The 13118-nt window shown below is 35.0% G+C and overlaps 1 protein-coding gene across 7 annotated transcripts in view, besides 2 other annotated features; it reads left to right on the top strand.

The window, feature by feature from the left end:
* THADA (THADA armadillo repeat containing) overlaps nt 1-13118 on the top strand; it is a 365188-nt gene that overhangs the window by 76654 nt on the left and 275416 nt on the right. For all 7 annotated transcript variants that reach the window (NR_073394.2, NR_144316.2, NM_001345924.2 and 4 more), the window contains one exon: nt 10605-10737. Coding sequence is in view for 5 of the 7 variants with exons in the window: in NM_001345924.2 (NP_001332853.1) it covers nt 10605-10737 (133 nt within the window). In the remaining 2 variants the exon portion in view is untranslated. The remainder of the gene's footprint in view (nt 1-10604; nt 10738-13118) is intronic.
* Nucleotides 5897-5946: an enhancer, noted in NCBI's record as "active region_15679". NCBI's record gives its function as "activates an Ori minimal core promoter by ATAC-STARR-seq in GM12878 lymphoblastoid cells {active_cell/tissue: GM12878}" and the evidence as "EXISTENCE:reporter gene assay evidence [ECO:0000049][PMID:35858748]".
* Nucleotides 5957-6006: an enhancer, noted in NCBI's record as "active region_15678". NCBI's record gives its function as "activates an Ori minimal core promoter by ATAC-STARR-seq in GM12878 lymphoblastoid cells {active_cell/tissue: GM12878}" and the evidence as "EXISTENCE:reporter gene assay evidence [ECO:0000049][PMID:35858748]".

The raw sequence follows: 13118 nt of genomic DNA, 5'->3' as shown, positions 1-13118 counted from the left end.
CAAGTGATTTATCTATAGCTACACATGTAGTTGGTGATTGAGCCAGCACTAGAATCTAAATGTTTTTCTGGAATTTCATAGCATTTCAGAGGTTAGCAGTTTAACAAAAGTTTATTGATTATTGCTTTCTATAAGGAATTGTGATAGCTAGGATAAAAATATTGATAAAACATGGGCCTTGTTTTTAGAGGAACTTTCAACCTAGCATTTTAATCTTTGGGATTAGATAAGTAAGTCACATAATTTACAAGACAGACGTTAAAGACCAAGACAAAGATCCGCTCACTGAACTGTCTATCCTAGGTGATGAGAAGAATAATTAATGCCAATAACATTGGCAAAAAGCAAGGCAAGCAGGAGGGCATGATGGGAGGGAGAATAATGCTTTAAACATGCTGAGTTAAAGGTAGTTTTGGGAGGCTGCCTAGCGGGATAGCAGACAGTTGGAAATACAGGTCAGGAGATTAGCAGAGGGGTCCAGGTTGGAGATAGTGTGACCTGGGACTCCCCCAATATTTTAGCAGTAAATGTCCAGCATTCTGGGAAATCCTTTAGTCCCAGGCAAATAGGGACAGTTGTTCACTCCAGCTGGAGGTATATGTTTGAAAGTCAGCCAAACAGAGGAAATAGATGAAGCTATGGGCCTAGAGGAGATCTCCTAAAGAGGCTTAAGAAAGAAAGGAAAAAGTTATCATCTTGAATTAAATTTTATAACTATTGTTAAAACTCAGAGACATTGCTCATATGAAACATAGTTTCTACTCTGTGTTCATAAGTGTACAAACCTCGGTTAAATAACACTTTTACATGAACCTGAACTATACTTGCTTTTGAACCCTGTACTTGGTTTTGTTCTTGGGTCTTAGAGAAAAAATGATCTCTTGGGGTAGCAGTTAGGTTAATAGAGTTGATTTTGGTAAGCTGTTTGGGGATTTCAGTAGGAAATATTCTTGTATGAATACTATAACCCTGGTATGTGGAGATTTGCTGAATGTGTTTGTACGTGTTACAGGAAGCTAAGCAGCTGCATCAACTGCTGGCTCTTAACAGTGGCACTTCTCATTGGAAAACATTTTTGTTTGTACTTTCTTTTCTAGTTATTATACCCTCTTTCTTTGTCAACCTGGTTTGTTAGACTGCCATATTCAATGAAGTTAGTAAATTATATGTCATTCATTTATTCAACAAATATTTATTGAGCTCCCTATAGGGTATCAGGCCGTGTTATAGGTGCTGGGAATAGAGAAATAACAGGAAGGAATGTGTCCTTGATACATGGAGATGTAGAAAATAATAAACTATCTGCTAGCAGTGTGTGTTTTTATGTGATAAAGTTTGGTGGTAAGGAAGATTCTTTCCTACTAGACTAAAGTAATATTTCAGCCAGGGCCTGAATGGCAAGAAGCAGCACCTTTTCTGGAGAAGAGCTTTCCAAGCAATGAGAACCACTAACGCCAAAATCTATGGTGTATTAAAGAACAGAATGGTGTAAGATAAAGTTTAATGAGATTGTCCAGATACGTAGGGCTTTGTGAGCCAGGATGAGTTTGGATTTTTTGCTCCCTGGGAAATCTTTGTGTTTTCTGAGAGTCTCCAACCACATGTATATAAAAATAGAAGGTATCTTGGAAATGGTACACACATTAATATTTATGGACCCTAGTAGGTAACTTCAAGATTACGAGCAAATGAAGTGCACGTGCGTTTGATAGAGTTGCATGGAAGCGGGGAGGGGACTGGATGAAAAAATGAGAAACTTCATGGATGTGTAAAATAAATGGACATAAAGTTTCTGTTCCCAGAAAGTATACTATTCCTTTCTAAGCTGCCACTTTGTTCTTTAACCTAACAAAGTGAAAGTCTGTGTTTATGGGAAAGGGAAAGGATTTTCTTCCTTCTTGTGCTTTGTAAGTAAACTATTGTTTGGTAAATAAAGATATTGGCAGAGGCTTACCCTTACTCAGTTGAGGTTATACAAATTACCTTCCTGGCAGTTTGAGTCTTTTCTGGGAATTTTGCTTCAATACGTTGGCTTTAAATGTACTTCATATTTAAATGTGAAATTAATTGCTTTGTGTTTGCAGGTGAAGTAATTTCTTCAGGCTACCATGAATCATTCAGTTAATATAAGAAAGCAGTTTATTAATAGTAATAAACTTCCCCAGTTCCCTAAGGGAGTGGGGGTACCTCGAAAACAAATGAGACACAATTCAATTCAAGTCAGTCACAAAAAGGTTATCTACTGAGTGGCTTTTCTGTAGAGTATTTTAATTTTCTAGCTAGCTCTCTATTCATGTCACCCAGTTCATTTAGAACTATTAATACTTTAACCCCCACCCCAATGGTAGATGTTCAGGGAATGAAATCAATCTGAAAAGTAACCTGAATAAAACATGATCAGGAAGTTAATATCTTAAAAATTGTATTCTCTGGTAATACATTCCAAAGCCACATGAAAACATTTTGTAAATCACGTGCCCTTTGGAATTTTTATTCTGCGGTTCTATTTTTAGGACATAGCATAGTGCAAAGCAACCACTAGCTACCTGATAGATCTCTTTAAAAAATAAAATAGTGAAATTCACTAAAACAAATATTAGAGAGTTGATAGTATTTTCATCATGAGCCAGATCTGAGCATTTAGGGCAGGCACATTGAAATAATGCCTTTTTATTAGGCAAGGGCTTTGGTGTCAATATACATTTTAATTCTCCCTCTGCCACGTACTTGCTATGTAACCTTGAGCAAATTATTTAGCTTCCGTCTCTTCTACCCCCTTATTTTACCCAATTTTTAAACATTAGTGTGAAATATTTGCATGTACTAGAAGGTATAGTGAATACTAAAATTAGCAGTTGTACAACCACGATGTAAATACCTGGAGGAAGAGTATTCACGGCAGAGAGAATGTCAGGTGAAAAAGTCCTGAGAGGCTTGGGCTTAGGGTAGGTATTTAAGGAACATCAGGTAAACCAATTATGACTGGAGTAGTGTGAGCATAGGAAAGAGTTGTAGATGAGATCAGAGAAGTTGTGAGGACTAGACAGCCTAAGACATTGTGTAAGAACTTTGGCTTTTACTCTGAGTAAAATGGGGAGCCATTGGAGTGTTTGTGAACAGAGGAGTGACATGATCTCATCTTTTAAAAGGATTACTCTTACTTCTGTGTTGATAATAGACTATAATAGTGAAAACAGAAAGACCGATTAGTTACAATATTGCTATACTACAGAAAAGAGATAGTGATGACTTGGAAAGTGGTGGAGGAAGTAAAACGTGATCTGAATCTGGATGTAACGTGAAGATAGAGCAGGCAAGGTTTGTTGACAGATTAGATTTGCTATTTGAGAGAGAGAGCATAACTACAAAGTTTTTGGCTTGAGCCCCTGAAGAGATCGATTTGTTATTCTTTTATTAGGATGGGCAAGACTGTGGGTAGAGTAGGTTTTTGGAGGAAGATCAGGAGTTTAGTTTGGGGCATGTTAAGTTTGGCATGTCTAGTAGACACCCCATTGAAACTACTTTAGGTGTACTTTGTTGAAGTACATCCTTTAGAATTTCTTTTGGTGAGAGTCTCTGGAAGGCAGACTTAATCTTTGTATATTTCAGATTGTCTTTTTCTTACCTATGCTTTTGAATGTACTTTAACGGGGTATACAATTCTGGTGGACAGTTGTTTTCCTTCACTGCTTTTGTTATTGCCAGTGAGAAACTTGTGTTTGGTATAATTGATGTTCCTTTGTAGATCTCCAGTTTTTTTTCCTTTAAATCTCCTGTGGCTTGTAAGTTTTTTTATTAATCACAATTTTGCTATGCTTTTTCCAGGTATGGAACTATCGTTATGTATATACACACACATACTTTATGGTTTTTTCATTCTGTATACTGTTTTGGGTAAATTTCCCAGAAAACTATCTTCTAAGTCACGAATTCGTTAGAATTCATCTTATCTGTTTTATATGTGTGTGTGTATATATAGTTTATATATATTATATATAAAATATTATATATTATATATTATATATTATATATAAAATATTATATATTATATTATATATTATATATAAAATATTATATATTACATATTATATATTATATATAATATATTATATATTATATATTATATATTATATATAATATATTATATATTATATATTATATATAATATATTATATATTATATATTATATATAATATATTATATATAATATATAATATATTATATATAATATATAAAATATATTATATATTATATATAAAATATATTATATATAAAATATATTATATATAATATATATATTTATATATATTATATATAAAATATATTATATATAAAATATATATATTTATATATATTATATATAAAATATATAATATATATAATATTATATATTATATATAAAATGTTATATATTATATATAAAATATTATATATTATATATAAAATATACGTAAAATATATATTATACATAAAATATATATTATACATAAAATATATATTATACATATTATACATAAAATATATATTGTACATATTATTATATATAAAATATATATTGTACATATTATTATATATAAAATATATATTGTACATATTATTATATATAAAATATATATTATACATATTATATATAAAATATTATATATTATACATATTATATATAATATATATTTATATATATATTATATATATTATATATAATATAATATATTATATATTATTATATACAATATATATATTATATATAAAATATACATATATATAAAATATATAAAATATATATAAAATATACATATATAAAATATACATATATGTTATGTATATTATTTATATTGTGTATAAAATATACATATTATGTATATTATATATTATATATAAAATATACGTATATATTATGTATATTATATATATTATATATTATATATATATTTTTTAAGACAGGGTCTCACTCTGTCACCCAGGCTGGAGTGCCTTGGCATGATCTCAGCTCACTGCAACCTCTGCCTCTTGGGCTCAAGCGATCCTCCCACCTCAGCCTCCCAAGTAGCTGAGACTACAGGCAAGTGCCACCATGCCCAGCTAATTTTTGTATTTTTTTGTAGAGATAGTGTTTCACCATGTTGCCCAGGCTGGTCTCAAACTCCAGAGCTCACGTGATCTGCCTGCCTCGTCCTTCCAAAGTGCTGGGATTACAGGCGTGAGCCACCGTGCTTGGCTGAAAGTACACTTTTATTTCTAGTCTTTTTTATTTTTATACATGCCTGTTCTTATTTCACTACGGCTTGTTTTTCATGATTTCTTGTTCTTTATTTTTTTTTTTTTTAAGGGACAGTGTCTCACTGTGTCATCCACACTGGAGTCTAGTGGTGTCATCATAACTCACTGTAGCCCTGAATTCCTGGGCTCAAGTGATCTTCCTGCTTTAGCCTCCTGAGTTGCTGAGACTACAGATGTGAGCCACCATGCCCAGTTAACTCTTCTTAAATAGAAGTTATTCCCTTATTTATCACTTCAGTATCCTAAACATAGTTATTTTAAGGTTTTTGTCAGACTGCTCCATAAAATTAGTTTCATATAGAGTGAATGTGTGTTATTACTGATTTTTTTAGGTTGTCTTTCTTAATATAAAATTTATTTCTATATTTTGAATTTTGGCTCACTGGCTATGATGGGAGCCTTTTGTTTACTGATCTCTTTCTAGGCTCTTTCCTCTCTATCAGAGGAACTAGATTAGGTAGTGGTATTTTGGGTGTCCCCCTTCACAGTGAAATTGGGGATATCATAGATCTAGTCACTGAGTTAGTAGTCAGCCTGATTCAGAGGCCCCCTGTGCCCTTGGCTTTTCCTACTGCTACAGCCTCAGGCAGCTCTGGCAGTAGCCCTTTTTCAGGTTCTTCTCAAAAGAGATGAGGCTGCTGAAATTCTTTGGCTGCCACTACTGCTTCTAAATCTGTAACTCTTGGGTCTCTGGTATCAGCACACTCACTACTTTGCATTTCTGTTCATTTTTACCCAGATGATTATCTTGCTTTTGGACTCAGCTGGTTTTGGGGTTTCTATTTGTATATTTTGCATATTGTTAACATTAACTTGCATTGTAGGGGGATGTCCTGTCAAAATGGAAACTCAGCTGTTTCATCTCTATCATTTCAATTGAAACTTTTAATACTTGCTTTTCTCATAATAACCGATGATTTTAGAAAATGACCATTAAGAACTTATTAGACATAAGAACAAACTCAATCCTTCCAAAAACTGTCATTTTATAGAAGAGCAAAGTGAGAAAATGGAGAAATTTAGTAAATTGCCTTGGATTGTACAGCTACTAGGTAGCAGAGAAAGGATTCTAAACCAGATAACACGGGTCCATAATCTGTGTTCCTAACCACTGTGATATATTCCCTCTCATCTGTTAGTTGGGAAAAATAACTTTCTCATAGTTTGTTCCAAGAATGAAGTAAGAGCAGCTGTGAAAAGCCTGGTGTCGTACCAGACGTGTAATAGACATCCAACGAATATTTGTTTTTCTTTCCTTTGTGGCAGGCAAATATATTTCCAGTATGATAGTTTAAATAAAACTTGTGGCCGGGTGCGGTGGCTCACGCCTGTAATCCCAGCACTTTGGGAGGCCGAGGCAGGCGGATCACCTGAGGTTGGGAGTTCGAGATCAGCCCGACCAACATGGGGAAACCCCATCTCTACTAAAAATACAAAGTTAGCTGGGCGTGGTGGCCCATGCCTGTAATCCCAGCTACTCAGGAGGCTGAGGCAGGAGAATCACTTGAATCTGGGAGGCGGAGGTTGCAGTGAGGCAAGATCGCGCCATTGCACTCCAACCTGGGCAAGAAGAGTGAAATTTCGTCTCAAAAACAAAACAAAACAAAAACAAACAAACAAAAAACTTGTAAGTAGATTTTGTTTAAAATGTAGTATGTTTAATTTTAGTAAAAAGGGAGGGTGGAAGTTCCATTATTGGACCAAATTCCCTTGTATGGCTTTGAGGTCAGGACTTGCCTGGGAGAGGTGCAGAGCTGAGAAGCAAGGGAATCAGAGGAATGGGAACCGGTGGTAGAGTTCACACTGGAAACCAGATAAGTAAAGAATTCTGCGTAAAAGCTGGTTTGATGCTGGGGAATTCCAGAGCAGAATAAGAAGGTTTGGACTAGATGGTAGGAGCTGGTGCCTTGAGCATTTCCCAGAGCTCATGAGGTTCCTGGGTCCATGGTGCAGTGGGCAGAGATGGCTCTATCGATGGCATTTTGCCAGCCTTGACCTTGTAGAGCATTCTTCTGGCCTCTGTTTTCAAATTCTGCAAATTAACAAGGAGCATTTGGTTCTTAGTATGCAATACTCAAGGGAATAAATAGGCCCAGTTCACTGTTTACAGTTATACTAGCCAAGTGTTTAAATTAGGGAATTGCCTCTGGGGCCTTGACCTAGCTCTTTCCCCAGTCATCTCATCTTTTACTTCCTCAGCTCTCATATATGGACCTTCCACCATTCGACCTACATGTCCTTCAAAGTCTAGTTCAGATTCCAGCCCTTCCATGACACTGTACTGATCCCATGTACGCCTAATACCTAGTAGTTGCTTCAAGTTAATTGGAAGTTTAGAGAAAGGAAAAGTCCTCGTGAGATGCAGTATTTGGAGGAAGTTTCATCAGTTTGGATGAATAGGGATATGTGTGGAGACCATAAACGAATGCTTAGTTGGGAATATGAGGTGTGTGTGTTGTATGTTAGTATGAGAACCAGCAAAAAACAGTCTTACTAGACCAGAGGAGTTTGTGTAGGAACTTGGAAAAGTTAAGGTTAGATTTAAGTAGGAGGGTTGGGTCCAGGTCATAGGCAACCTTTCAAGCTAGGAGAGTTTGACAAAGTTAGAAGAGGAGTTAGATGATTTGGTTAATAGTCAAGAGCCACTGAAAGTTCATGCAGGGAAGGGTGATGCATAGTGAGATGTTCTACTCTCATTCCAGACCTGCCTTCTTGGAGTGGTTGGTTTTGCCACAGCCTCTGCGGGCTCACTCAGGGAGGCCCAGGGGAGGCCCACTGACAGTTGAGGAGCATTATTGAACTAGTATTTAGTGTATTTGTATTTCAGCACACTTAGGAAATTAAGGAAATAGGAAAGTACCTCTCATGTCCTGCAGTTCGTTCTTCCCCTTAGTTTTTCCTACGTAGCAAATCCCCTACAGGAGACGACCTTAGACTGTAGCATTATCTATAAGCTGGTTTTAACTTTCCCATGGTTCTAGGAAGAAAATGCAAGTATAAATTAAGCCCACAGATATTAGATCAAGTACTCTTTACCTTATTCACCTCTATAATTCCAGCTTCTTTTCTTCTTAGGTAGCTAAATCACCAAAAAAAAATTTTTGCTTTTTTTTTTTTAAATTTTTTTAGTTTTTTTTGAGATGGAGTCTTGCTGTGTCACCCAGGCTAGAGTGCAGTGGCGCCATCTTGGCTCGCTGCAGTCTCTGCTTCCTGAGTTCAAGCGATTCTCCTGCTTCAGCCTCCCGAGTAGCTGGGATTACAGGTGCCCGCCACCACACCTGGCTAATTTTTGTATTTTTAGTAGAGATAGGGTTTCATCATGTTGGCCAAGGTGGTCTTGAACTCCTGACCTCAGGTGATCCTCCCGCCTCAGCCTCCCAAAATGCTGGGATTACAGGTGTGAGCCACTGTGCTCACCCGGCCCAATTTTTTTTTTTTTTTTTTTTTACAGTGAAGAAGGAACAAAAGAAGGCAGTAATCTATATCATTAGCACTTAAGTAATTACTCTTAGGAATTTGGATTTCAGTTTTTGATTGGTCAACTGTGTGAGGATTATATCAAGCTGGCAATATTATTAATAGAGAAATTATTTCACAAAACACAAGACATTTATCTTAATTTAAAAAGATATAAAATCTAGTGCTTGGGAAGTAACCTCAATCCTTAAAAATACAAAAGTGTGGGGCAATTATTTTCATTATGAAAAATTCCAAACACATAAACGTGTGTATTTGTGTATATGTATATCACATATATTTAAAAGTAGAGAGAATAATAAGCGACCTTTACCCATCATCCAAATTCAATAGTGATCAAAGTTGAGTCACAACTGCTTCATCTATCCCTTTTTATTGTTGTTTGCTGAAGTATTCTAAAACACATCCCCGATTTGTGATTTTTATTCCTATGTACTCAGTATGCATCTCTAAAAATATGGAAACTTTGTTCCATGTTCACAGTGCAGTGGCACATTTTATAAAGAATTTCTTGATGTTATCTATTATCTAGTACGTATATAAATTTCCTCTGTTACTTGACAGTGTCTGTTTTACATTTCATTGTTCAAATCAAGATCTAAGCAAGGTTCACACACTACATTTGGTTGTTATGTCTCTGAATCTTTTTTAATCTAGTGGTTGGGAGTTTTGATAGCTGGTTTTGGTGGCTGAGGACAGGAGTGTCGAAGAAGCAAGGGTGAGGTGATGGATTTTAAGATATGCTAAAAGGAAATCTTTAGAATCACAGAGCCTGCTAGTAGTAGGGAGATGTAATTGTAACTTTTATGACTGAAATAATATTTTTAGGCCCATGTCAAACTTTAAAAAATGCCTCCTTTAAAGTAGTCTTATTTATATATTTTGTTCTATGTGAAACATATAGCTGAATCTGAGTTGCTATTTAGAATGTTTAGTCAGTAACTGAAGTTATCTGTTTTACACCAAACTAGAATAAAGAAAAAAAAATCCCAATGTTCCTAAGAGATCTAATTCTCACTGTAAATTGGAAATCAGTTATCTTTCTGCAACTTTTCTTCCTCAACTTAAAAAAGAGTGTTTTTCCTTTGGACTTTATCTGTAAATTTTCATATATTAATTTCAGTTAAAACCAGGTACTACCTTGCTAAGATAATTGTGTCTACCTACCACTGAATTTGGTATTCCTTGGGCAATGTTATACAGTCTAGTAGGGCATACATTTAAAAATTTTATAAAAATTAAATGTACTTGAGCACTCTAAGATAGCGCTTAATGTAATAATGCAGAAGCTCACTGATGTAATGTTCAAATCGCCTCAAAATGTTTATGCCTCTTCCCAGATAAATTGCTTTAATTCTCCAGAGGATCTGGTTGAAAATTTTGTGGTAGGCCTCATTTTGAGAGAGATGAAAATGATTACTAAAATACAGTTTAAAATGTGTTTTCTTTGAATATGTGTAATCCCTATAAACATAGAACATAAATTATAGTAAACTATAAACTTATATTCTCTTTGTTGGAAATCTTGAGTTGTATAGTATGAAATATCTGTGAGACCATGATCAACCTTTTCCTGAATATTTTGAGTGTGGATGCAAACCCATGTATCAAAATTTATTTTGCAGACAAGACACATGCTTTAAACACTGCAGTTGTTAGAAATGAAATCTTTAGATCTTAAGACCCATAATAAAGAGGAAAGTAGGTGAAAAGTATGAGACATGTTTTAGTTTCACCCCCACTCAATATAAGGATATTTATTATTTACTAACAGTGTAAATGTGCATCAATAGTTTGTACTTTTAACTTTGATACCTAATTCCGAATATTTGATTATATATGCCTTTTAGGTGCCCAAATGTGAGTCTGCAAAAGCTGCCAGAACAGTGGCTATGGAGTGTTTTAGAGGAAATTAAATGCAGTGATCCTTCATCTAAACTCTGTGCTACAAGGCGCAGTGCTGGAATTCCTTTCTACATACAGGTATTTATCTGTAGGACCCTAGCTGTTTGTTTATATTTGTCTTTTGATGATAGTGTATCCTAACCTGTTTGACGTGTGAGTGAGCGTATTACACATAAAGGACATTTCTGTCTTTTCAGCACCATAGCATTTGTGGCTTTGTTTTAATGTGGGGATGGTGTGTTCCTGTGACAAGATCTGTTCTTGGAACAAACCCTCTAAAAGGTCAATCTTGTAATATAAACAGAGGGTGGTATAAATTTCTGTCTGTGTATTAAGTAGGCAGACATCACTGTGGCACAGTCATTGCTCACTTCCAGGAAGTGCACATGTTACCCCACCACCCCACTGTATTTTTTTTTAAAAATAGTCTTCCTTTCATCTCAAGACCTTCAATACTCTCTGTAGGCAACCAGTGTTAACATTTTCTTTTCAATTCTCCTATAAAACGTCCATCCATAAAATAATCATGATCATAATAGTAGCTGACATTTATTAGTGGTTATTTCACCTCATTAACTCCTTCCCTGTACCCTATTATCATCCATATATTCTAGATGAAGAGACTGGGGTTTAGGTACGTTAAGTGACTTACCAAAGGCCACAGAGACAGTAAGAACTGAGTTAAGACTTGAGCCCAGGCAGCCTGACTCCCGAACCTCTCTGCATATGAGAATATGTGTGTGCGAGTCCGTTTTCCTTTTGAACACATATGAAAACATACACACTGCTTGCTCTTTGATTTCACTTAGTATTATACCTTAAAGATTGCTTCATATCAGCACATTTAGATATGGCTATTGATGGGAAAATATTTTATTTAGAAATTAAGACTGTTACCTTCATGAACCCAAAGAATAAAAACCAGTGTCTTCACAATACTAAATCAGACCCCATCCTGAAAGACCTTTGGTTAATATATAGTAAGATTAAATCCGGGAATATGGTGGTATAATAAAAGCACTGAAAATAAATGGAATGAAGTCTCTGATTTTTTTCATGCCCCTACATTTTTTCCTTATCTTTCTTACTCCTCCCTCAAATTCCTAAAATCCCTTTATGATTTTTTGGTGACAGTGGGCATCAGTTGCAGAGGTTGTTGACAGAGATCATTGAAGTAGTTCTGCTGAATGGATTTTGGTGACCTTCAGAAATCAACTTTTATTTGATCTGACCCATTCTGTATCAGTGTGTTTCATTCTCCTGCCTCTAATTCACTCTGACCTTGTGTTTTTACGTGTCATTTGTCTGTCTGAGATCAAATGTTAAGACAGGATCAAGGTCTCACTGCATATTTGTGCAGTGTGCTTCTTTCAGCTCTGGTGCCCAACTTATACTAAGTATTGGTCATAATGAGTAATCAGTAGGTGTACTTTCTTACCCTAGCCTTGGCAAGAATGCCATAACTTTACCTAGCTCTTTGGGAGAAAAAAGCCGTGGTTCCCTGAAGTCATTTTAGTAATTGAATGTAGCTTTTTTTTAGTTGAATGAAGTCTAAATTTTTTTTTAAAAATCTGCTTAAAGAGAGTCTTCATTTCTCTTAGCGTGACTTACTAATAAAGTTATATTCCTGTTTTGGTGGAAATCTGCTTAGTGTTAGCTATGGAAAAGAACTGTCTACTTAGTTTGTGAGTTTACCTTTTGTGTAGACAGATTAAAAAATATTTTCAATATAGACATAAAGTTTTTTTGAATAGTCATTTAAAAAATATATGTTATCTGAGCCTAAATAAACTATGAGAAATTTCTTCTAAATCAAACTATTTTTTGTATGTCTTTATTTTCCTCTTCTGTAGTTTTCAAATGCTTCAGAAGAAGCTAACTAACTTGTAACTTTCACTCTTGAGAGCCAGTAGCTACAAACATGAAAAGTAGACATGGAGAAAGGGAGTCTGGGAATGTGACTAAAGTGACATTTTTTAACAGCTTTATTGAGATGTAATTCACATACTATATAGTCACCCTTTTAAAGTGTACAATTCAGTGGTTTTCAGTATATTCACAGAGGTGTACAACCATTATTTAGTTTTAGAACATCAACCCATGAAACCTCCCATACTCATTAGCAGTCACTTCCCATTTCTCTCTACCCCTGCCACTCAGCCCTAGGCAATCACTAATCTACCTTCCAGATCTATACATTTGCCCTTTCTGGACATTTCATATATATGGAATCATACAGTATACGATCTTTTGTGTGTGGCTTCTTTCACTTATCGTAATGTTTTCAGAGTTCATCCATGTTGTAATATATATTAGTACCTCATTCCTTTTTATTGCCTCAAGTGGCTTAATACCCTATTTTTATGTTTATTGGACATCGGCAAAGTGTTAGATACAAAGTAAGTAAGAAGCTACTGAAAATTTCAAATATAGGACCTCTTTGGTGTTTGCAGTATTTC

This window comes from Homo sapiens, chromosome 2 (genome assembly GCF_000001405.40).
Source record: "Homo sapiens chromosome 2, GRCh38.p14 Primary Assembly".
Taxonomy (NCBI): Eukaryota; Metazoa; Chordata; class Mammalia; order Primates; family Hominidae; genus Homo; species Homo sapiens.
This window is presented reverse-complemented; position numbering and strand designations above follow the sequence as displayed.